This window comes from Homo sapiens, chromosome 2 (genome assembly GCF_000001405.40).
Source record: "Homo sapiens chromosome 2, GRCh38.p14 Primary Assembly".
NCBI lineage: Eukaryota > Metazoa > Chordata > Mammalia > Primates > Hominidae > Homo > Homo sapiens.
Genome location: NC_000002.12, coordinates 170,698,264 through 170,723,135, shown reverse-complemented (window position 1 = coordinate 170,723,135; position 24,872 = coordinate 170,698,264). Strand labels below are relative to the sequence as shown.

At 46.6% G+C, this 24,872-nt stretch overlaps 1 protein-coding gene and 3 long non-coding RNA genes across 18 annotated transcripts in view, besides 4 other annotated features; 3 read left to right on the top strand and 1 right to left on the bottom strand.

Annotated features, from left to right (window-relative positions):
- ERICH2-DT (ERICH2 divergent transcript) overlaps positions 1 to 22,768 on the top strand; it is a 70,399-nt gene extending 47,631 nt beyond the window's left edge. Inside the window, exon 6 of the long non-coding RNA NR_110185.1 lies at positions 22,557 to 22,768. This is a non-coding gene — a long non-coding RNA (ERICH2 divergent transcript). The remainder of the gene's footprint in view (positions 1 to 22,556) is intronic.
- SP5 (Sp5 transcription factor) lies at positions 5,058 to 7,799 on the bottom strand. 3 transcript variants are annotated; one of them, XM_005246542.5, is made up of 2 exons: positions 7,068 to 7,799; positions 5,058 to 6,877 (listed from the first exon to the last, which is right to left on the bottom strand). In XM_005246542.5, exons 1-2 carry the CDS (start codon positions 7,248 to 7,250, stop codon positions 5,732 to 5,734), a joined length of 1,329 nt encoding a protein of 442 aa, XP_005246599.1. In that variant the 5' UTR covers positions 7,251 to 7,799; the 3' UTR covers positions 5,058 to 5,731. The 3 variants fall into 3 exon arrangements, with proteins under 3 accessions (XP_005246599.1, NP_001003845.1, XP_047300220.1); NM_001003845.3 differs by having other exon boundaries at positions 7,573 to 7,799; XM_047444264.1 differs by having other exon boundaries at positions 7,036 to 7,153.
- Positions 5,848 to 6,637: an enhancer, noted in NCBI's record as "H3K27ac-H3K4me1 hESC enhancer chr2:171573009-171573798 (GRCh37/hg19 assembly coordinates)". NCBI's record gives its function as "activates a minimal SCP1, AML or CMV promoter by ChIP-STARR-seq in primed H9 embryonic stem cells {active_cell/tissue: H9 hESC(primed)}" and the evidence as "EXISTENCE:reporter gene assay evidence [ECO:0000049][PMID:30033119]".
- Positions 6,638 to 7,425: an enhancer, noted in NCBI's record as "H3K27ac-H3K4me1 hESC enhancer chr2:171572221-171573008 (GRCh37/hg19 assembly coordinates)". NCBI's record gives its function as "activates a minimal SCP1, AML or CMV promoter by ChIP-STARR-seq in primed H9 embryonic stem cells {active_cell/tissue: H9 hESC(primed)}" and the evidence as "EXISTENCE:reporter gene assay evidence [ECO:0000049][PMID:30033119]".
- Positions 7,426 to 8,215: an enhancer, noted in NCBI's record as "OCT4-NANOG-H3K27ac-H3K4me1 hESC enhancer chr2:171571431-171572220 (GRCh37/hg19 assembly coordinates)". NCBI's record gives its function as "activates a minimal SCP1, AML or CMV promoter by ChIP-STARR-seq in naive H9 embryonic stem cells {active_cell/tissue: H9 hESC(naive)}" and the evidence as "EXISTENCE:reporter gene assay evidence [ECO:0000049][PMID:30033119]".
- Positions 8,433 to 8,482: a silencer, noted in NCBI's record as "silent region_12090". NCBI's record gives its function as "represses an Ori minimal core promoter by ATAC-STARR-seq in GM12878 lymphoblastoid cells {active_cell/tissue: GM12878}" and the evidence as "EXISTENCE:reporter gene assay evidence [ECO:0000049][PMID:35858748]".
- On the top strand, positions 8,569 to 10,697 carry LINC01124 (long intergenic non-protein coding RNA 1124). Its single transcript, NR_027433.1, has one exon. It is a non-coding gene; the product is annotated as a long intergenic non-protein coding RNA 1124 (long non-coding RNA).
- Positions 11,129 to 24,872, top strand: part of LOC100130256 (uncharacterized) — a 96,216-nt gene continuing 82,472 nt past the window's right edge. For all 13 annotated transcript variants that reach the window (NR_187625.1, NR_187623.1, NR_187620.1 and 10 more), the window contains exon 1: positions 11,129 to 11,272. This is a non-coding gene — a long non-coding RNA (uncharacterized LOC100130256). The remainder of the gene's footprint in view (positions 11,273 to 24,872) is intronic.

The following is a 24,872-nucleotide window of genomic DNA, read 5'->3' as shown; positions in this document are numbered from 1 at the left end:
ACAGCCAAGCATGGTGGCTCACACCTGTAATCCCAGCACTTTGGGAGGCCGAGGTGGGTGAATCATCTGAGGTCAAGAGTTTGAGACCAGCTGGCCATTGTGGTGAAACCCCATCTCTACTAAAATACAAAAATTAGCTGGGTGTGATGGTGGGCACCTGTAATCCCACTACTTGGGAGGCTGAGGCAGGAGAATCGCTTGAACCCAGGAGGCGGAGGTTGCAGTGAGCCGAGATCCTGTCACTGCACTCTAGCCTGGGCGACAGAGAGACTGTTTCAAAAAAAAAAAAAAAAACAAAAAAACCCAAAAAAAACAATAGATTTAAAATACTACAGTTTAGAATCCTGTTGAGTTCCGCATTATTGGGAGCAAAATCAAATCATGGACATAAATACGTTGAGAAAAGCAGGAGAGACACATGACACAAAATGAAAGTTTCCATGCTAGAAATGGACATGGATATATAGAAGATGTGTGACATCCACAAGTCAGAATGGAAAAGAAAGCAAGACATAGAATTTATAAGAATAAAACTCACATAGAGATAAGAGAAATGAGCTTTCATGGTATCTGATGTAGGCTTTTGGGAAATTGCCACCAAATATTTTTAAAATTAGGACACATTTTCCCAACCATAAGCATAAATGAGTTAGCCTTGATATTTGCTTCATGAATTGGGTAAAATTAAGCTGAGGGCCAGATGTTTTCCATCTGTGTTTTAGATTATGCTAAACATAAAATGATTAGAAAGCACCCATATATGACTGGTTTAACTCTACATGAAAAAATCAGATGACATTTAGACACTGCCTTAGACTTTAGAAAATTTTAGTGTATTTTGATGTCAGAATTTTGACAAGTAATGAAAATATTAGATGAATAGTTTTACTGTAAAACAAACTTCCATTTCATAATAGGCATAATGAATCTTCATAATGCTGAAACAACTTTTTGAAAAGTGAAAGCTGTAGATTTTCCAAGTGGTATCAAACTAAGAGTTGGGTTTATTTACCCTGAATTACATTTTGGTATGAGGTAGACAACCAAAATGTATTAGTTAATGTGGTTTATTATGTGTTGTGCAGATACTACTATAGTTCATATGCATAGGCTGATTTATGAATTAAGTCTCAAATATCCAATAGAGGATTATACTTTAGATAATTGCTAAAGACACGGAAAGAAAAGTGCATAAAGTCTAGAAAGGGAAGTCATCAAAATGTCAGCATGAAACTATATCAATCATCATGTACAAATCTTCAATTGGTAATAAGCTGTAATAGTAAAACAATTGCGAAACTATCAATCCGTAGCTGTTTGATTACATCTTTGTTGAACAAATATCACTTGTTAATTATAGTCAGGAACATTAAGTTATTGTATAATGTCCATAAATTAATCTGAAACATTGCTGTCTCTGGCAACATAGTAGATTCTTTAAAAATAATCAAGGAAGGAGCAACTGACATCAAGATCTTTATACAAAAATGTGTTGAGTCTGAACATGAGAGAAAAATATACTGTCTATATTAAATAAATCACATGCCACACTAATCAGGTTACCATTATAGTGGCCCAATAATGAAACATGTTCTTTTGTCGTATTAATCTAAACATATATCTCATTACTAACATACATCTATCTAGATATTTTCCTTATTTTTTCCTACTCTATTGAACTATGTTGGTGCATGACATTTCAAAACTGCCCTGGGTCTCATACTCCTTTAAAGTTCTCTCTATCATGCAAACCAGAAGGTCATGATATTTAATAGAAAATTAATATTGCTTGTTTTGAGTGGCCCTCAATTTGCGACATTAGCAAACTATAATTACACTTACTATAACACAAAGCTTAAAGTTTGAATCTGATTCTATAACACAGACTATTTCCCAGTGAGAATGGGCAACTTACCTTGACTAGTCATTATTTAATGTGATGAGCTAATGCAAGTAAAAGTGGCTTGCAATTTTAGAGCCCTAAACAACTTACTAGATGTTTACATGAATTTGAAGTCATAGCTACAGCTATAACATTCTGTGAAACAGTCATAGCAGAAATGAAATAAATAGAAAACACTGAAGATGTTGCTTTCAACTAATACTTAAAACCCCACAATATTAGAATAAAAAATAGTACAGCTTGGGGTAAAAAAACTGACTTTTCTACAAATGTCATTGTTTCAAATAGGTTTCTGCAAGAGGCATGCTTGGCAAGATTAATTTTTTAATTGGCATGTCTTGTTTGATTAAAGTAAAATAATTTAAAAGAATATACAATATACGGCCGGGCACGGTGGCTCACGCCTGTAATCCCAGCACTTTGGGAGGCCAAGGTGGGCGGATCATGAGGTCAAGAGATTGAGACCATCCTGGCCAACATGGTAAAACTCTGTCTCTACTAAAAATACAAAAATTAGCCAGGCATGGTGGCACGCACCTGTAGTCCCAGCTACTCAGGAGGCTGAGGCAGGAAAACTGCTTGAACCCGGGAGGCAGAGGTTGCAGTGAGCCGAGATGGTGCCACTGCACTGCAGCCTGGCGACAGAGTGAGACTCCGTCTAAAAAAAAAAACAAAAAAACAAAAAAAAAAACAAAAATATAGTCATAAGATTTAAACACTAGTTGAAACTAGAAAATAACATGGAGATTACAGTTGTATTTTCTTTAACGTAATTTACTTTCATTCATTACCAGAACTATTTAAAACTAGTGATCAGTTAAGAGTATATTTGCACAATTTTTTCTTGAGAAAAGCAGATAACTACAGTGTTAATAAATTCAGAAACACATGCTTCTAAATTAACTAATTTACTGATATTTCAATTTCTCCATGTTTCCAAGTTCTTGCTCAAAATGGTTCAAAAACTGTTAAAATTAAAATAATATCACGAATTTTAGTATTTTAAAAGAATACTGTACATTACATTTGCATGCTAATAAAACAGTTGCTTTAAAATCTACAATGCCTACTGACATTTGAGGCAATCATTAACATATTTTCTTCAATAAGTTTTTTAAACTTAATTGAATTGTTTGCTGGGATCTTTAAGTGAAACCTTGAATAAAGTTGGTGGATTAAACTTACTTTTTTAATGCTGCCTACTTCTTTAATGTTGTCAGATTTGCAGTGGTACAATCCTATCAGATTTGCAGTGGTACAATGAGCAAGCCTTTCAGCTGTACCACGTTAAAGACCATACTTTTTCAATTTGCAGGTGCAATTAAGTAAAACCATAACAAAGTTATTTTGTCATAAGACTTTGTTCTACTTTAAAAAATTATATACATTTATTTTGTTTTTCTCTAATAACCACAGTTATCTATCTCCAATATCTCATTTCCTTAGATATTAAATTCCATATATTTAACAACCAAAAAATTATAAGAAAACTTTATCTTCAACACCTCTTCTGTTTGGATACTAAATAAATGATTGGCTCTGTCAATAATAGCTAGTAGACTCATTTTTAAATGGCCATTTTTCTTTCTCTACCAAGGTCATTCTTTCAGATGAAAGAATCATTTCAAATTTTGAGTCCAAAGCCTTTGAAAATTTTCACTCTCTAACAAGGATTCCTCTTTCTCACCACTTTCCAAAAATCCTTTTCTGAATCTATAGTTGATCCCAGGGCATGGTTCAGATGGGAGTTTCTGTAACTTTTTAGAGAAAGGTGAGAGTTTCTATAACTTTTCACATTGCTTTAGACATCAAAATGTGTAGTCTTGATCTAATGACTTAGATCTAATGATTTTGATTAAGATTACATATTTAAGTGTATATTAATATTACTGCCTAGCAACTTTATCACTATTGCTTGCAAACTGCCACACCCTTGAAAATGTAACCCAAACTCCTCTTCCCAGGTGAAGAACCATGAAGACTCACATTCTAATTAGTCATTAAATAGTTCCAATATCTCTTATTCTAAGGTATATTGCCACTATGAATCTAATATTCATTTACTACCTTGTCCCAAGTTACAGAATAAAAATGCCATTTCTTAGGAGTATAAAAGTAATTTTCATCTGAATTATGTTGATATTTGTGTTTTACTTCGTATAAGAATTCAAGAACAACCCTCAAAGCTTTTAAGAACTGATCCTTCAGTTTGACTTCAAACAAAAGGCAAAGTAAAAGCAGTTTGTGAACTGTGAAATCCTATCAATTTGTACACACTTCAACTATCATGAAAAGATTATTCGGCTCTATTAAAATTTGGCATTAATGATGCTAGCTTAACATGTTAATAAAATTTAGAACATTTTCTGTTCTTTGCTAATCTTAAATCAAGATTTAACTGCTGATAAAAGTTTCAGTTACAGGTTTAAAAACTCAAATATTAGAAAATATCAAGGAGTTAGACACTTGATAAAACATTTGTAAACTTCAAAACTTCAACTTTTAGAGAAAGGCGAGGCACCTAGACAAAAAATACCCTATTTCCACATTTCCAAACCATGAGTATTCCTGGCTCTTCCCTGAGAAAATCTTAGACTACTTCAATGATTAAAAACATAATAAAATTCAGATACAAAATGGAACTAAACGTCCTGGCCTAGCCAGAAATTCCTGGGTGGTTACTGTGAAATAAGACTTGTTAAGATTTCCATCGCAAGATTAAAAAGAAAACAAGCAAAACAACGCTGGCTATCGTGACGGGACTGAAATACAGGAGTGGCGTCTGGGAAACTATCTTCTTGGTTCTTTCCCAGGCAAAGACCAACCTGAACAAGGGTCCCGTTTCTCTGTACCTCTCCACAAAGTCTCACCTGTGAACAGATCCTGGCGCCTCTAATACCTCTCTTAACACCAGCATAGTTGTGACCTGTCCCGAGAGTACCAACAAATAGAAAGCCACAGGGAATTCGTCAGGTAAAAACAAACTTGGAAGACAAACAGTCTCGGGTGAATCCTAAGGCCGCATGAGAAACTCAAATTGTGATTGGAAAATCTTGCCCTACCTCTTTACCACAAAACGGAATTGCCTGCCTTTGTCCATTCCTGAACCCAACACATTTGCCCAGATCCTTCCAAACCAAAGAAGCCTCCGACACAGGCAGACTATAGGAACCATCAAATTCCCGGGGAAACCCGACCGCTTAGTACAGCCACCCAGAAGAAGAAAAGATCAAATGAGACCGGCTCAACGGGGTCTTCCTGTAGTGACCCCTGAGTTAAAGTATTTATTTTCACGCTGCAACTGCTGATCACTTTACAGAGACATATCATGCTGTAGCTCTGCATGGAGCTGAAGACAAAAGCAACATTTTTATTAATGTTATAATTATTATAATTATCTTTAACAAAGCTATTAAATAACCTGTACAAAGCCCAAACCGGTCCTAGCGAAAACCCGAGCACTGTTTCAAATCTCCCAAGTTCCTTTCTATTCAGTTCAGCAGCATTTCCTATATACAAGGCCAGACCAGGGTGGTCCCCCGAAACTGTAGGTCTCCCTGACGGTGGGAACGGTTTAGAGTTTGGAACCGCCCTGGCGTACGGCAGAGCTCCCAATTACAATCCAAATGCCCCAGCCCCAACCCTACCTCCCCGCTCCTGGGAACTGGGTCCCTATGTCCGAAGGCAGCGGAAGTTGGAAGCCTGGCTCCATTTTGGGAGGCAGGCAACGGAGAGGGTCCGTCTGCTGAGTCTCCCCTCCGCCAGCTGCCCACAGGTCCCCGGATCTCTCGCAGAGGTGCTGGGAAGGGGGTCCACCTCCGGGAGGGCTCACAGGTCCCGCGCGTCCTCCCGCTTAACCCCGGCCTCAGCGACTTTGAGCTTCTTATTCTGGTGAGTCTTGACGTGCTTCGCGAGGTGGTCGCTGCGCATGAAGCGCTTGCCGCACTCGGGACAGGCAAAGCGCTTCTCGCCCGTGTGAGTCCGCAGGTGCCGCTGCAGCTCGTCCGAGCGCGTGAAGCTCTTCCCGCAGAAGAGCCAGTTGCACACGAAGGGTCGCTCGCCCGTGTGCCAGCGCAGGTGCGCCTTCAGGTGCGACGTCTTCCCGTACACCTTGCCGCAGCCCGGCACGTGGCACACGTGCTGCTTCTTCTTCCCCGGCTCCGCCTCGGGGGCGCCGCCCGCCGCCTGGCAGTTGGGACAGCGGCAGCGGCGGCACCTCCTGGCCGTGGCCGCCAGGGGGGCCTTGGTCTGCAGCAGCGCGGCGATCTGGCTCTGGTACTGCGCAAAGTCCGACGGGCCCAACACCAGGCCTCTTTGTAGGGCGGCGGCGGCCGCAGCAGCAGCGGCCGCAGAGGCGGGGAAGCGGGGCGCGTGGGGGGCCCCGGCACAGGCGCCGGAGAGGCCGCTTCCCGGAACCCCGGAGGCCCCCGGCCCGGCGCCCGCCTGCGGGATGCTCCACCACGGGAGGTCGTCGGGGGCCGGGTTGGGTGACAACTGGCGGCAGGTGGGCGGCGGGGGCGGTGGCGGCGGCGGAGGCAGCAGGTTGGAGTAGCCTGGCGGCAGCGCGGCCTGCGCCGCGTAGGGCACGTAGGCGGGCGCGCAGCTGGCGGGCAGAGCCGCCATGCTCGAGGGCAGCATCTTGACCGGCGAGAACTCGTAGGGGTACGAGGGGTCGGCGGGGGGTGTAAGGGGAAGCTCGTGCGCAGCCCCGAAGGACGGCTGCAGGTGCGTCTTCTGCGGCGTCAGCCCCAAGCTGGGATGCGGGGGCGGCAGTGCGCCTGGCGAGTGCGCCGGCATGTCGGCGGTCCACGGGTGGAAGAGCCTGGAGGGTGAGCCCAGCGCGGGGTCGTAGGGCACCTGCAGGAAGTCCGGGGGCGCCGCCGCGCCCGGCTGGCCGATGCGGCTACAGGTGGCGGCCAGCAATGCCAGGGGCGAGTGCTTGCCCAGGTCCGGGGAGGCGCTGGGGGTGCGGTCCTGCATAGGCGGCGAGGGAGGGCGGAGAAGAGACAAAAGGTTAGCTCCAAGCGCGGACTCCGGGCCAGCCCGCCGCCCCCACGCCCGCTATTATACCGCCGCCCCTCCTCCGTCCCGGCCGTCCCTCCCCCGCCACCGCACCCCACGCACGCACCCACCGGCCGAGGGAAACTTTTGGTGCCTGCGCTACCTGAACGTGGGGCCCGCGAGCGCTTCTTGCTAAACTACTTGGTGCACTGAGACGCCATCCAGCCTTAGAGGAAGCAGGCGCGAAGTGGGAGGGGGAGGCATCCGACGGGCCCCTCCCGGCTCCGTGGTCAGTAAGAGTCGGGAAACACCCACAACCCCGCCGGCCGGCCGCTCTCCCTCCCATCTTTTAAGCTCTCTTGTCCTCACTGCCTTCGCGCTCCTCCCTGGCCCGCCCCAGGCTGAAATCAGCAGGAGGGCCCAGCAGGGTGAGCTCCGGTCCTGTTCTCGGCCAGCCGGGCACCTCCGAACAATCCCGGATCCACGCGTCCCTCCAGCAAAGGCCACACCGGATTAGGTGTGAAGTTGGCGTGGGCACCCCTAGGCCTGGCTCCAGCTGCACCCATCGGCGGGGTTCCCTTTGAGGTTCAAGGTGCACGGAGTACCAGGAGAGATCCGGACACGGCCCTTTCCACCTTTCTCCCGCCCCCTCCGGGCTCGGCCCTGACCTGGAGAAAGGCCTGCAGCGAGTCGTTCCGGAGGACGGCCACCGCGGCCATGGCTACGGCTTGCAGGCCCCTGGCTGCGGAGCGGGACGCCGCCGCCGAGGCATGGACACCCGAAGGCGAGGACGAAGGGCCGCCCAGCCTGCCTCCCTGGCGCCTGCTCTGAGCGCCGGGGCCCTCCCCGCCCTTGCCCCTCGCCGCGCCCCGCTCGCTCGCCCCGCGCGCGGTCTGAGCGCTTCAGGATCACCTCCAAGAATTTGATAAGGACTTTGCTGGGCCGCCAGCCAGTCAGAGGGAAGATTTATGGCTTTGAAGTTTGCCGCTACCCAATCATCAAAGAATAGCGGCTCTTTCAGAAGCGAAAGCAAATCCTTTGAATCCACAAAGCTCCTATGGTGTGTTTGTTGGTCTGGATAAAAGAACTGATTATTAGGGGGGATGGGAAGGGAGGAGATAAAGGCGGGACAATTAATGAAGTAATCACTATGTGGGAAATGTATATACACAAATAATTGGATTTTCCTGATCAAAGGGGGCCTTGCCGCCTGGAGACCCGCGCTTGGGTTGCTCGAGACACTCTTCCCGCCCCCCCCAACATACACACACACACACACACACACACTTGCAATTAAAGATTTGCACCGACGCAGCGCCCAAAGTGACAAAGTGTCTTTGTTATCTCTGGAAAAATCTGCCTTCGGCTTCCAGGCGCCGGACTTTGAGACGGCAAAGAGTGTAACTCTCCCCTGTATTTACTTGCACACCCTGCACCCTCGCCGCACACGCACCCGCCCGCGCACACAGCGGACCCAAGCGAGATCCCCGGTGGGGCGTGGGACCGACAGCGCCCGGCCCGCCGCGTGTCCCCCGCCCGCCGCGGTGGGGCCGAGGGCAGGGCTGTGACCTGGGGCGGGGCCGGGCGGCCGCCCAGCGCGGCGTTGGGTGGCGCGCACGCTCCAGGGCCGCCCGCCTGACGAGCGACCGGGGCTCTCCTGTGACGTTCCTGCTGGCGACCTGGAAGTTTTCCTCAGGCCACAACTTTTGCAGAGTGGACCTGGGAAAAACACCCGCGCCGCGCATACCCTCAAAGCTGAGCTCGGCAGGACACCCAAGGCGACCCGTCATGCCCACCCGAGGGGAAGAAGCTGTGCTGTCCCGCCCCCTTCTCCCCAGGCCACCCAGGAGGCCCGGGCTGGGCTGTGGGGGGCCGAAAGCCCCAGCGCTGCTGGTGATTTCTCGCCCGGAGCCCCGCCAAGCCAGCGCGCCCTCTCGCAAGCCTGGCAGACCAGGAGCTACTGGAAAAAAGGCGCGGTCGAGGAAGCCTGGTTGTTGTGGTCCCACAAACCACAAATCATACGAGAGAGGATCCCGAAGGCGGGAGAAAAGTCAGTACAGACTTGTTCCTGCCACCTTTGGAAAGAAAAAGTTCCTCACCAGGCGCGGGGCGTGCTTTGCTCTGGGCAGGGTCGCGCTTGCAGGGGCTTGGGTGACCCCCATCCCTCCCTGGCGGCTCACCTCCTGCCGAGGAGGGCCACCTGCCTCCTCCTGGCCCAGGGCGCAGGGCGCGTCCTGCCCCGGCACTGCGGACGCGGGGATCGCCTCTCCCGGGCGCGCGGGCGGGGAAGGAGGAAGAGGCGGGCGGGGAACCGCGGGGTGCTCACCGCCCTGGGGCATTAGGGGTGCGGAACCGCGTTGGAGGCCTCGCGGCCCCGGCTCGCGAGAGCGCACTGCGGAGTGGCCGCCGGAGCTCGGCCTACTCCTCTCCCCCACCCACCTCCCGTCGGACACAGTCTCCACTCTCCAGGCCGCCGGCCGTGGGGGAGCCCCTAATCAGTTCGCGCCCGGCCTCTCTGCCCGTCTTCCTCACGGGAACCGCACTGCGACCGGGACGGACGGGGTGACCTATCTCCCGATGCAGCGTCAGAGGTTAGCCTAACTACAACGGACTCGGAATCTGGACTGTATAAGGATGCCCTCCGCACTTCCATCAGGGGTCGGGGATGCGATGCCTCCGGGCCCACCTTCTCCCACGCCCAGGGCGCGCCTGCGGAATGAGAATATCGTACTCAAGACGGGTGGGCTGCTTGCGACCCAAATACAATGGGTCCCTCGCACATCCTGCACTCGCACGCCCCCTTCTCCCCCAACGAGTTGTCCCCTCTAAAACGCGAGCGGCGACCACACAACTTGGCCGACCCGATCTGGCTTCTGAAGATGAGGTCGGCTGCTCTGGGAGCGGAGAAGGGGAGAGAGCTTAGTGGTTTCATCCGAGGCCTGGCCAACCTGCTCCTTCCCACGCTCCCGTCCAGGATTTGAGTCTTGGAGAAGCGTGAGACTCGAGGGAGCTCTTCCCTGGATGCAAGTCGGAGGCCAGGGAGCCCCTTGGCACACACTCGCGCCTGCACATGCTTGCACCCTCGAAGCGATCTGGTTCCTTAGCGCTGGTTTCCTTTCCAGCTTCTTTGAGATCTTCGAAGTCCCCTTTCCCAGGGAGGCGGGCAGGGCCGGGCTAAGCAGGATGGAAGGCAGCCCTTTTTATTGAATCTGATAGCTACTTTCCCAAAAAGGCCAGAAAAGCCATTTCACATCCCCATAGTTATGGGAATTAGCTTTTTCTCCAAGATGCCCCCATTAGCCAGTTAAACCATCAGTGGGCCAACAGGGTCAAAGTTAGTGGCTTGGTGGTTGAAAGCTCGGAGTCCGAACTCTCTGAAGACATTTTTCCCGCCTTGCCACTTTCTAGTTGGTGACCTTGGCAAGCAAGGTACTCAGCCGCTGTGTACCTCAGTTTTGCGGTTTGTAAAATGGGAGTTACAATAGTGCACCCCTTGTAGAGTGGCTATAGGTTTAAGAGTTAATATACGCAAGGTCTTTAGGACGGTGCTGAGCGTACAGAAGGCCCTCTCTTGAGTGGTCGCAGTTGGCTGCTCTCGGCCTCATCTCCGTTTGTGAAAACCCGTCCAGATTCCGGTCCTCCCAGGCCCCAGCTGAAGTTTGGAGAGAGGCTTTGCTGAATAGCTGTTTAGTCTCCCCCAACCCCCTTGGCCCTCGGAGCTCCTGGAAAAAGTTCTTAATGAAGTAATGTTGAGAGCGTCCATTAAAAATGCAATGCTGGGAGATCAAAGTACAATATTTATTTTAGAAATTTGTTGTAATCACCAAGAGATACAGGTATCAAGGCCAAATGTCAGTTCCATTACACAAAGCCCCGCGCCCGGGAAGAGCGTGTGGCTGCTCTGCCATAATGTAAAGAGACATCAAAGACCGAGCGCGCTGCAAAAGTGCGCAGCTGTGGGGGAGAGAGTAAGCCCGGGAGGGCCAGGCGCGCCCCAGACAGCGCGGGGGCTGCGGGGGCGGGGGTCAGTTCAAAGAGGTATCCGTTGGGGCGCGAGTTCACAGGAGGGAAGATTTAATGGGCTTTCTTTTGTTGGTGGGTGTGTTTGCGCACGGTGGACCCAGGAACTCCTATGTGGTCCTCCTGCCTCGGGGCGGAGATGGGGGTGGGGTGGGAGCTGCGAATGTGGAGCAAACTTTAACCGTGGCGGGGGGCGGGGAGGTTGAATACCAGTCTCCTGGCGGCGGCTGGCACAGCGGAGCTGCTCTCCAAGCAGCGGGGTTCCCAGGCTGGGAAGTTTGCATTGCCGTTTCTTTGCGGGCGGGCGGCGAGCGCCGACTGCATGCCACCTGCGAGAGGAAGAGGCCGGTAGGTGAACCCGCAGTGACACTTGCGCAGGGGACGGACCAGCTCTGCGCGCTCTGGGATTAAGTCAGGGGTTGCTACTTCCAGCCCAAGCTTGGTACCTCGCCTCGGGCATTTTCTTGCAGCTAGAAGGGACGCATGCCTCTGGCATAAATCCAACCAGAGAGTCACCCCTCTCAAGCTAGATTTTTTAAAAATCTAGATATTATTTAGATCATTTCAGCAAATTCTTAATGCTTTGGCCTTTCACAGTAAGATGTTGCTTAATCGGCTGGATCTCCCCACTCCTTGCCAAGGAGACTCAATTTTGCAGTTGCCCATATCTGCCTAGTTAAATCGTTGCTATACTAAAGGTTCTGGGAGGGTGGGGACAGAATTTCCCCGGTGCTAATGCGGCACTGAATCGCAGGAGGCTGCCCATGCATTTCTTCAGTCATCTACAACCAAGAATTCTCAGAGCAGTCCCTCGGCAGCCTTTTGAAGCTGTGCTAGAGCAGAAAGCTGCTATTGTTCTCATCTCTCAACAAGGAAAGGTTCAAACTTTGCCTCTTCAATTTGAAAGATTTTTTTTTTATGGTGGTGGGGGGAGGGATTGCAATCTGATACTCAAAGTTAACTTTGAGGATTTGGAGTGGTCTCCCAGTTTAAGCTGCAGATCAAATCACAGATGCCCTAACGCCTGCATCTCAAGTCGGGGGCACTTCATCATTAATACGGTGGAGTAGTCAATCACAAGCAATTACAACGTGGGTAACCTAGCCTGGTGACCGAGCTAGTTTACTTTCCAAGGAAGTGGGACCATTTCCTCAACTGGAATCCTTGAATTAATTTTAAACTTAAACTTCCAAATTGGATCAGTATACAATACTGGTTGTAGAACTAGGAGGAATTTTTAAAAATCTCATCTAATTCTCCCTCATTTGGTGGGAGGAGGAAACAGCATTTGTATGATATGTATCCTGCCTGCACAATGCTGTGAGCTTCAGTAGATGCTCAATAAATGCTCATTGATGTTGGGTGGTAGAGTGGAATTGTGTGTACCAATGTCATCAGCGTATGACTGGTGCCACAGAGCACACAAATGTAGTAGGAAGTCAGAGAGGATTGGTGAGGACTGGGGTGGTCAAAGGAGGCTTTATCAAGGAGCTGGGGTTTGGAGGAGACTTTAAGGACCTACAGAATTTTAACTTTAGTTAATTTTAGTGCAAAGAAAGGAAGAAGGTGAAGGGGAAAGGGACAGTAGAAGAAAGAGAATTCCACTTCAGTGAAAAGTTGAACAACGATGAAGTTTTGGGTCTTTGATCTGTTGGTGTGGACATGGTGGGGCCAGATTAGAGAAGTCAGAACACGGAGTTTGCCCCCATGCTGTATACATTATAGTAGGAACTTCTTCTGAGCAGGTAAATAACGTGAGTTCAATTCCATGTCTGAAAGCTTCTTCCCTAGAAGGATTGGCTTGCAGAGTCTGGAAGGATAGATGCAAATGCAGTTACCTAGGTGTGGGATGGTGAAAGTTTTGATTGGGAACTGGTGGTAGTAGTGAAAGGATGACTCAGCATTTTAAAGGGGAAAAAGAGCAAAATTTGGTGACAGGTTGGAATAAGACATTAAATAAAGGGGACACTCAAAAGGACTTCTCTTTTGAGCAAATGGTGCTGGGGCAACTGCATATCTACATGTAAAACAATGAAATTGGACCCTTTCCTTACAACACACACACAAATTAACTCCAATCATAGATTTAAATGTAAGAGTTAAACTCTGAAGCACTTAGAAGAAAACAAAGGAGGCTGGGTGTGGTGGCTCACACCTGTAATCCCAGCACTTTGGGAGGCCGAATCACAAGGTCAGGAGTTCGAGACCAGCCTGGCCAACATGGTGAAACTCTGTCTCTACTAAAAATACAAAAAATTAGCTGGGCATAGTGGCGGATGCCTGTAATCCCAGCTACTCAGGAGGCTGAGGCAGGAGAATCGCTTGAACCTGGGAGGCGGAGGTTGCTGTAAGCCAAGATCATGCCACTGCACTACAGCCCGGGTGACAGAGTGAGACTCCATCTCAAAAAAAAAAAGGAGTAATCCTCATGACCTTAGTTAGGCAAAACCTTCTTAGATGTGACACCAAAAACACAAATCATAAAAGAAAAAATGTTCAATTGAACTTCACCACATTTAAAACTTTTGTGCTTTAATGAACACTGTCAAGAAAGTGAAGACAACTCACAGAATTGGAGAAATCATTTGCAAATTATATATCTAATAAAGGAGCCCTTGCAACTCAACAGTAAAAAGACAACCCAATTTAAAACCGGATAAAGGATTTGGATAAACATTTTCCCAAGGAAGATATACAAATGGCCAATAAACACATGAAAAGAAACCCAACATCATTATAGCCATCACTGAAAAGCAAATTAAAACCACAGTGAGAGGAACCCCTTCACACCTACTAGGATGACTAGATTATAGAAAAGATAGTAAGTATTGGTAAGGATGTGGAGAACTGGAACCCTTATACATTGCTAATAGGAATGTAAAATGGTACAGAAAACAATTGAAAAACAATGTGGCAATTCCTCCAAATGTTGAAGATGGAATTATAATTCTACTGCTAGGTAGATACAAAGAGAATGGAAAATACACATCCACATAAAGACTTGTACATGAATGTTCATAGCAGCATTATTCATAGTAGCCAAAAGTTGGAAACCTAGATGTCCATCTCCTGATAAATGGATCATATCTGATAATCTATGTAAAGGAATATTATTCAGCTATAAAAAGGGATGAAGTACCGATACATGTTACAATATGGATGAACCTTGAAAACATGCTAAAGGAAGCCAGTCACAAAAGTCACCTATTGTATGTTTCCATGTATATGAAATGTCTAGAATAGAAAAATCCAGAGACGGAAAGCACATTAGTGGCTGCCAGGGACTTGGGGGTGGGGGAAGAGGGAATGACTGCCAGTGGGTAAGGCTTTTTGGTGGGGGTAAAAGTATCTTCAAATCGATTGTGGTGATGGTTATACAACTCTGTGAATATATTAAAAAAATGGTACAGTTTAAATGGATGAATTATATGATACAATATGGTATGTAATTCTATCTCAATAAAGCTGTTTAAAAATAACATCAAAAGGACCCCAAGGTTTTAGCCTGTGCGGCAGGAGGAATAGCTCAGTTGCTGACAAAAGCAGGAGAACAAGGAAAAGAGACAGCTGGGAGTTAAGCAGAAGGACTGAATTCAGCGTGGGCTGTTGAATCTAAGATTTTGGCTGGCTGCTCGTGAAGAAACGCCTGCAGAAAGCTGTAAATGCCGGCAGTGGCAGTGAGTGTGATGGACAAGGCTAAAGAGAAGACTCATGAACTTTCGGTAAGTAGGGAGGGCTGAAAAAGTGAGCTCATAAGAGTGAGTGGAGATCAAACAGGTAGAGAAAAGCTACAACAGGATTTGGAGAGAATGCACAAATATAAGATGAACAGAGGAAGAGAAGCCATCAAAGCAGCCCAAGAAAATAACGGTGAGAGAGGCAGGAGAAAACACAGAGAGTAGGGGTGGGAGGATGAGCAAGACCAATGTGCTTGCCCAGGCTGGGGAAGGCGGTGGAGAGGGCCGCGTGGTGAGCAACAGGAAGAGTCTTTTTGCTGGAGAGGAAGCCTTGAGGGTCCATTCGCAGAGCCGAGGTGGGGAAGAAGGCAGAAGATTCGAGTTTAAGAAGCAGTGAGGACAGATAGCAGGGCAAGAAAAAAGTTGTGTTTGTGTTTTAGGACCTGGTAAAAACGGGGAAGTGGTAGGTAGGGAGCCTAGAAACTGGCCGTTTGCAGTGGAGTGTGGGTGTTTCCATTAATGAGGAGAGGAACTTCTTTTTCCCAGCCTGGGGTGAAGCAAGTATAGCCCCAGGACATAACTTCTGACCTGGGGGGAGTGAAACAAACTCAAGGAGAAGCTGCTGCTTTATTGATTTGAAAGGACAAGGGCACAGTCGTTGCTGGGAGTGAAAGGGGTGGTCACAAGTTCAAAAGACAGTAGGAAACTGTGGCAGGTCAGCCGCATACACTTGCTTGTGCTGAGTCTTGTCCTGTGTTTTACTTGATCACATTCAAGCCTTACACGTTTAAATCCCACCTTCTCTTCCACTCTGCTGCCATTTGTATTCCCTCAGATAAGAAGGTAAGGAGAAAGGGCTGGGTGCAGTGGCTCGTGCTTGTAATCCCAGCACTTTGGGAGGTGGAGGTGGACGGATCACTTGAAGTCAGGAGTTCGAGACTAGCCTGGCCAACATGGTGAAATCCCATCTCTACCAAAAATACAAAAAAATTAGCCAGATGTGCTGGTGGGTGCCTATAATCCCAGCTACTTGGGAGGCTCAGGCAGGAGAATCGTTTGAATCCAGGAGGCGGTGGTTGCAGTGAGCCGAGATCATGCCACTGCACTCCAGCCTGGGCAACAGAACGAGACTCCATCTCGAAAAAAAATGGTAAGGAGAGCGGGTGCCGTGACCTGGAGCAAAGGGAGGAGTCCTGGGTGACATCTGCCTCCCATGGCAGGGAGGTCCTCCGGTAAACCTGCTTAGACACGCACAGTTGCTTTCAACAGTACTGCCATGGACACGAATGATCTTTAGGTACAGACAAGGCCTCCTTACAAGAGACATATGTTAGGAAAAGGTAGTGCCAAAATTCCTTTATTAAGTATATGTTTTCCTATTTAGTCATTAATGTTCATGTTTCAAAATGACCCTGTAGCAAGTACCACTTGATGTGAGAAGGAATCAAGGCAGGTTCATGGATAAGGCATGAACTTAAGGTCATGGCAGGAGCCTGCAGAAGCTCACAGTACTGTGGCTTTGTACTCTGTGGCTCTGTCATCTATCTTTCTTTCTAGGCACAAGAAACCAAATCTTTACTGAGTGTGGTGGAAGAATGCCCAGGTGAGCACAGGCACAGTGCCAGGTGCTGCAGAGGACCTGAGACAAAGAGTCACTGCGCCCTCAGAGAGTTTAGAATCCAGCACTGAGGAAAAGAGAGGTCATGGGGAGCACAGGTGGGTCCCACAATCATGGGAAGAATACTGTTGGCTGCAAGGGCCTGGCAACTATCTATGACTCATGAAGAAACAGGCCCAGTGAAGTAACGTGGCTCCTTGAGATCACAGAGTGAAAGAACTGAGTCTCACATACATTATTTGAGACAGGTTCTCTCTCTGTCACCCAGGTTGGGGTGCAGTGGTACAATCTCGGCTCACTGCAACCTCCATCTTTTGGGCTCAAGCAATCCTCCCACCTCAGCCTCCCTAGTAGCTAGGACCACAGGCATGTGCCAGCATATCCGGCTAACTTGTTTTTTATTTTCTTGTGGAGACAGGGTCTCCCTATGTTGCTCAAGCTGGTCTCAACCTCCTGGGATCAAGTGATTCTCCCGCCTTGGCCTCCCAAAATGTTGGGATTATGGATGTGAGCCACCACACCCAGCTTCATCATTTTTCCAGTGAACATTTTTCTAGGGAACATGAATATTGAAAGAAAAGATTCTCCATGTACTGTTACCCATCTGTGGTGGCATTTATTTCCTAAAAAGAAATGAATGTGATAAATCTTTCTTTTAGGCTGAGCAATAATGTTTCACATATATAAAATCTTGAAATTTGATCTGGATTATAGCAATAAAATAAAACATGCATTAATATATAGGAGAATTACTTTGGATACAAACCCAACAAAGATTTAATGAAAAACATTGTCATATATCAATAAATGCAAATAAAGTCTGAACCCCCCCCCCCCATTTCCACCCCTCTAAGTCTAGCACCCCTAGATGGAGGCGGGGGTTGGCTAACTTAGGCCGGAGAGACGCATGCTGGTGAGGTCATGGGTTTGCTCTGGTCTGTTGGTAGTGGTCTTTTGGGGGCCACAGCCTGCATGCTGTCTCCCACCCAGTGTGCTTGTTTGACCATGTGGCTGGTCGACCATGCTGCTGCTACCAATCACAACATGGAGTCTCATGGAATCCTCTCAATGACTCTATTTTATAGATGGGTAATTTGCCCAAGATCCCATATCTTGTTCTTGGAATTGAGTGCAGGTAATGTTACTCCAGAGGGCAACCTTTTAACCATCAGATTAGAGTGCCTCCTTGGGTGAGTGCAAATCTCTTTCTATTATTGGAAAAACAATTAAACACGTATGTCAGTCTGTGGTGGAATTATTAAATATGAAGTCTGGGATATTTACTGGCCACATTACAGGTTGTTTATTATTTGCCTCATGGTGAAAATGTCGGTCCCACGTGAGATGTTTGTTATCTGGTTTTACCCAAAAGAAGTATGGGTCTTGACCTCAAGGATTATAGTTCAGATCCATGATGACTTTTTCTTTCACTTCTAGAGTACTCTTTTCTTCCCCCTACCCCTTGCCCCAAGCCACCAGGGGGCACACAGAATTGGCCATTTACCTTGGAAAATTTAAGGCACCAATTTTAAGGATATAGATAAATATCAGTCCAGTATCTTTAGAGGTACAGCTGGGAATAGACTAACACTAATATCAGGTATCTGTCCCCATTTCCATTTAAAAGATCATCTCTTTAAAATCCTTTAGGACTGACAAGTGTCTCACCCATGGGCCTTTTGGTCTTCAGGAGGCAATGCCCTTTTTATTTGTGTTTCAGTGTCATGGTGTAGTTTCAAGTTGGATCTGTCCTCTTTCCTCTGCACCTTTCCCTGCAGAATCACAGAGATATAGATCCTCCCTTCCAGGGCACCAGCACCAATCCCCCTTTGCCTTTGTTCTCTTCTCCTTCTCTAGGCTTTATTCATGGCTGCTCCCTGATGCCCTTCTCATTTGTTATTTTTTAAAGGTTCTCCTAGGTAACTGCTACAAGAGGCTCTAAGCCTGCACCAGAATCTCTGCTTGTCTCTTGTTTACTATGTCATTAGGGCTCATTCACAGTGAACAGAACCCATTCTACCTGGTTTAAGCAGAAAGGGACTTCTTATAAGATATTTAATGTCTAGGCCAGGCGCAGTGGCTCATGCCTGTAATCCCAGCACTTTGGGAGGCCAAGGTAGGTGGATCACCTGAGGTCAGGAGTTTGAGACCAGCCTGGCCAACATAGTGAAACCCTGTCTCTACTAAAAATGCAAAAATTAGCTGAGCATGGTGGTGCACACCTATAGTCCCAGCTATTTGGGAAGCTGAAGCAGGAGAATCACTTGAACCCAGGAGGCAGAGGTTGCAGTGAGCCAAGATTGTGCCACTGCACTCCAGCCTGGATGACAGTGAGACTCTGTCTCAAAAAAAAAAAAAAAAAAAAAAAAAATTAATGTCTTACAGAATGACTGGAGGGCAGAAGAAACAGAATTGCTACTGAGCTTTCAGGCATGACTCCCAGTGCCACATCACAGACTTAGGTTGACAAGGGAGCTGCTGTTCCCGCCAGGATCAGGAGATTGTGGAATCAGAAAGCTGCCTGCCTCCTGGGAAGCCATAGTGACAGCTGCCCAGCTTCAGACTCATGCCACCTCTACTGTTATCAGACTGAACTTGGGTCTGCCCACCTAGCACAGCAAAGCCAAACATTGACACTGGGATTGCAGCAAGAGAAGTGAGGCATTTATTACAGGATGCCAAGCAAGAAGGACTGGGCAGCTAAAGCTTAGGACCTGAACTCCCAGATGGTTTGCAGTTAAGGGTTTTTAAAGGCAGGGAGGAAGATGTTATAGGCTGCTATGGTTTGGTTTTGTGTCTCCACCCAAATCTCATGTTGAACTGTAATTCCTATTGTTGGGGGAGGGACTTGGTGGGAGGTGATTGGATCATGGGGGTGGACTTCCGCCTTGCTATTCTCATGGTAATGAGTTCTCACAAGATCTGGTTGTTTAAATATGTGTAGCACTTCCCCCTTTGCTTTCTCTCGCCTGCTCTACCATGGTAAGGCATGCTTGCTTCCCCTTTGCCTTCTGCCATGATTGTAAGTTTCTTGAGACCTTCCAGTCATACTTCCTGTCTAGCCCACAGAACTGTGAATCAATTAAACTTCTTTTCTTCATAAATTACCTAGTCTCAGATGTCTTGCTCTGTCGCCCAGGCTGGAGTGCAATGGCGTGATCTTGGCTCACTGCAACATCCACCTCCCTGGTTCAAGCGATTTAACTGTCTCAGCCTCCTGAGTAGCTGAGATTACATGCATGTGCCACCATGCCTGGCTAATTTTTGTATTTTTAGTAGAGACCAGTTTTCACCATGTTGGTCAGGCTGGTCTCGAACTCCTGACTGCGTGATCCATCTGCCTCGGCCTCCCAAAGTGCTGGGATTACAGGCGTGAGCCACCATGCCCAGCCCCTTCAGGTACTTCTTTATAGCAGTGTGAGAATAGACTAATGCACAGGCAAAGTTATAAATCAGTTCTCACACTGCTATAAAGAACTACCTGAGACAGTAATTTATGAAGAAAAGAGGTTTAATTGATTCACAGTTCTGCCAAGAACTGAGTTTGAACTTGAACCAATTTAAAAACACCAATCAGAAATCTTGGGAAGACAAATTGGTTTGGAAAGTGGGAAGAGGGGAGGTGTTTCCTGGGCATGTATTTATTTTGAAGCTCTAGTGGGACGTTCCTGAGGAGATATCAGGGAGGTAGTTAGTAATTCAGAGCTGGAACTCTAGAGAAAAGTGAAGCTGGAGACAGATTTGGGAGTCATGTGAGAGAGAGGTAGTCAAGGGAGTGCACGTTGTAGGAACTCAATAAATGTTGGTTGAATGACATAACCCCGTCACAGCTGGGACCAGACTGGCTAAACCATAATTAGTGTTTGTAGTGAGCAGAAAGAGCACATTGGTTTTTGGCCATAAAGGAGAAGTGAGGGTCTAGGCATGGAGACTAGGAATTAACATGAAGCAACTGCATAATTAGCAAATGTAGCAGATATTTGGATTGGTTCATTTCAGCTATTCCAATCTCTAAGATAGAAAACAAAAAAACTATATTTTCCAGATTCCCTTGCAGCTAGGGTTCCATATATAATATTTAGATCATACCCATCAGATGCAGCGTACCAAATTTGGAAAGCAGAAGTAAACAGTTGTAAGGCAAGAACTGTGCTTTGGCTGTTCCTACTAGTAAGCACAGTGGTGGTACCTTTGGTTTTTCTATGACAGATGTAACAGGTCCTAAGTCCCAGCCCTATATTCATAGTTGTCAAGAGATAAGACACATATCATGGTATTGAGATGGAGTAGGGACCCCCCCAGCATGGAAATAAAGGAAAACCTTGAGTTCCTTTAAGGGTAATTCCAAGCACCTGGCTAGAACTCAGAAGTAAATGAGCAATTGGATAAGCGAGAATGTAATTGTCGCTTAAAATAGCCAAGGAAGTTAGAGTCATAAGAATGTTTGGTTCCCTGTAGAAACTAAAAATAACCTTTTTTTAAAATTTTAGATGGAGTCTTGCTCTGTCCCCCAGGCTGAAGTGCAATGGTGCTATCTCGGCTCACTGCAATTTCCGCCTCTTGGGTTCAAGCAATTCTCCTGCCTCAGCCTCCTGAGTAGCTGGGATTAACGGGCACCTGTCAACATGCCCGGCCAATTTTTGCATTTTTAGTAGAGACAGGGTTTCACCACGTTGGCCAGGCTGGTCTTGAACTCCTGACCTCGTGATCCTTCTGCCTCAGCCTCCCAAAAGTGCTGGGATTACAGACGTGAGCCACCGCACCTGGCAAAAATCACCTCTTAATATATGTCCTTGAGTTGTTTTTTAGAAACCTGGAACCCCACAAAATGGATCCCCTGGCATGCAGACCTCAGTCAGATAAGGGGGAACTGAGGACTGAACTCTGACCACTCTTCCTTTTTTCAGATTTCTTCCTAAGGGGCCTCGAGGAGGTCACACCCACAAGCCAGAGCTAACATTCTTACTACTGATTCCAAATTTTTAGATGAAGCTTCGCCTCCTTAACCAATTGCAAATCAGAAAATCTTTGAATTTACCTATGACCTGTGGGCCCCCTTTGAGATGTCCCACCTTTTTAGGTCAAACCAATGTATAGCCCAGGAGCCAACATGTGAGGGAAGAAGCCTTCAGGTGATCCAGCCTCCAGCTGTTGGAGCCACCATAGCTGAGATGCCAGATTTCATGGAGCAGAGATGAGCCATCCTCTCTGTGCACAGTCCAAATTCTTGACCCAGAAAATCTATGAGCACATTAATGGCTGTTGTTTTACTCCACTAAGTATAGGGTGGTTTGCTATATAGCAATAAGGAATCAAAACACCCCTCACATTCATGTTGCTTATTATCTGATGGTTATCTTTCACTGATACCAAGCAGCTCATATTTTTATCTTGCTCAAAAAACCTTAAATGGTTCCCCCATTGAATATGGAATTAATTATATGTTCTTTAGGCTTGCATTCAAGATCCTGCTCAGTTTTCAATCTTACTACCTTATCTTTCACTTTAACCCGCTACTCACTTTCAATCCACTTGTACCATATGTCAGATCTTCACTGGGCCACGACTGATGCTTTCCTATCCCTGTGCCCTTTCACCAGCACTGGCCTTTTGCTTGGAATTGTCGTTTTCTATATTTACCAAATTCCTAGCTATCATTCCTTCAAGCTCAGTGCAAATCTCACATCCTGTAAGACTTTGTTGCCCAATGTGGTGGCCAGTAGCCACATGTGGCTATTTACATTTAAAATAGCACTGATTAAAATCTAAAGTTTAGTTCCTCAGTCTCACTGGCCACTTTCCGTGCTCAGGAGCCACATCCCAGTGAACAGCACTGTCTTTTTAGCTTTTCCTTTCTCAACTAATCTCTCCTTCTCCCATATAACCTTAAAACTGCATTTTTAGCAATTTTGACCTGAATATTTTTGAGGGTTGTGTAATCCAAATCCATGAAATTACAGATACACCTTGGCTTTCTACCATTCTAGTGCACTGCTCTGTAAATGGGAGGTGGCTCAAATATTAATTGAGTTGGGAGGAAGCAGTGGTTAATCTCTATACTATACTAATGGGTCTGGGTGAAATGACCTCTTATGATCTTTTCCAGTAAAATATTCAACAAACAACATAAGTCTGTTATCTTCAACAATATATAATCTATCAGGATAGCTATTTTTTAAATCACAGGTGATTTGGGAGGAAGGTCTCTTGAGAGGAGCATTCTGCCATTCTGGTGTAGCTGTTTCTGTTCTCTCCAGCAGCTATTTTAGGTATTTAATTATTTTAGAGTGTGTGCTTGCATGTGTTTTGTCTCAATGTATGCCAATTTTTTGCCTAGTCCTCCTGACATCTTAATCTATCTGCCAACGCTACATGCCGTCAAGCCAAGGAAGAATTTCCTTCTCACTGTTGCTTCTCTGACCAAGGAAGACATAAGCACAACCAATCACCAGACTGATGAAATTCCTTCCAGTTTCAGAAAAGATTATCACCAATCCCTACATTATAAAATTCATACTAATAAAGCACAAACATTGAATTCTAACATTATATGCTATGTGACAAGACTACTTAATTGTATGTGTGTATGTGTAATTATTTTCAAGTTAACCATCTAAATTTTACCTGTACAAGAAAGCAGTTATTAGGCATGTGATAGATGCACTGTGTTAATTAACGTGGCCTTTCACAAGCCCTGTAGAGACAGCCCATGATGGTGTTCATATATCACATGATGTCTTCAAGTTAACAATGTTGACTGTTTTCATTTCCCTTCACTCACAGCCCGAGAGGGAGCTTCTCTTAAACCTGAGATATTTTTGAGGTTGAGGTTAATATTTATTTAATCTAAACATTCTATTTTATTATTTTATCATTAGTTTTTGAGACAGAGTCTTGCTCTGTCACCCAGGCTGGAGTACAGTGGTGCAATCTTGGCTCACTGCAACCTCCACCTCCTGGGCTCAAGCAATTCTCGTGCCTCAGCCTCCTGAGTAGCTGGGAGTACAGATGCCCACCACCATGCCCGGCTAATTTTGTATTTTTAGTAGAGACAAGGTTTCACCATGTTGGCCAGGCTGGTCTCAAACTCCTGGCCTCAAGTGATCCACCCACCTCGGCCTTCTCCCAAAGTGCTGGGATTACAGGCGTGAGCTACGGCACCTGGCTTAAACGTTCTGTTTTAAATATAAAAACCTGGCCTCTGTAACAGAAGCCCCTTTTCAGTTACTCAGTAACCTTACTTTTATCTAACAGTAATAAATGGGAATTTATCTGGAATAGATGCCGAAAATCAGGGCACTGCTCTTTGGTTTTGGATTTCATGACTTTTGGATACCTTTGGGCCTCTCTCCTAACTTAGCTGTCACTTTAGAATAATTTCTTTTTTGAGATGGAGTCTCTCTCTCTCACCCTGGCTGGAGTGCAATGGCACGATCTCGGCTCACTGCAACCTCTGCCTCCAGTCCACTCTCCTCGGCCTCCCAAAGTGCTGGGATTACAGGCGTGAGCCACTCCACCTGGCCGAGAATGATTATTATTTCCGCCACAATGACAATATTTTGTGCTTATTTTGTTAGGATGTGTTTTTAAGATGCAGAAAGCAAGCCAGGCACAGTGGCTCACGCCTGTAATCCTGGTACTTTGGGAGGCTGAGGCGGGTGGATCACCTGAGGTCAGGAGTTTGAGACCAGCCTGGCAAACATGGTGAAACCCCGTCTCTACGAAAAATACAAAAATTAACCGAGCGTGGTGGCAAGTGCCTGTAATCCCAGCTACTTGGGAGGCTGAGGCCGGAGAATCGCTTGAATCCGGGAGGCAGAGGTTGCAGTGAGCCGAGATCGCACCACTGCACTCCAGCCTGGGCAACAAGAGCGAAACTCCATCTTAAATAAATAAACATAAATAAATAAATAAGTGCCTTTGGGGCTGAGGCAAAGCAGAACTCCAGCAGGGGCATCTCAATGTGGCCCACAGCAGGTCAGCCACCCTCCTCCCATCCCCAGTGCTTGCTGAGGGTGAGGCCACCGTCTCTTTCTTTACCAGGGAGTCTCTGCCAAGTGAGTGGTGCCCTGGACGCACACCCCAGGACCAGGAGGGGGTGTTAATAACTTTCCACATAATTAGCCACAAGAGCAATATCACTCTTCAGACCTCAACAGCTTAAGAATATGATGGCTTACATTTAGATCTAAAAGGGAGAACCATATAAAACACCTGTGTATTTTATTTTCTACTAACCTAATTAATAGTTGACAAACATGTATGTTGCTGTGCTCTCTTGGCATAGCATGAAGAGTTAACATTGTTTTCTTCTAAAAGCTGTACAAGAAACCATAGAGGCTTTAACTTTCCTGTTTTTGATGACAAACTAGTAAGAAGTTCAGCGCTCTGTGTGAGCCTACAGGCAGAGATGTGTGACCCTAGCAAGGCTCCTGACAATGCATTTTCGTCACCTGTGAAATAAGGGACACATTTTCTTCCTGCCTGCTTTTCTTTCTGGATTCCAACAATACAGTAATAACATTATTTTTCCTTATATGTGAAGTTTGAGAAGGGTTTTTCCTCCCCTTTTTTTTTTTTTTTTTTTGAGATGGAGTCTTGCTCTGTTGCCAGGCTGGAGTGCGATGGCGCCATCTCAGCTCACTACAACCTC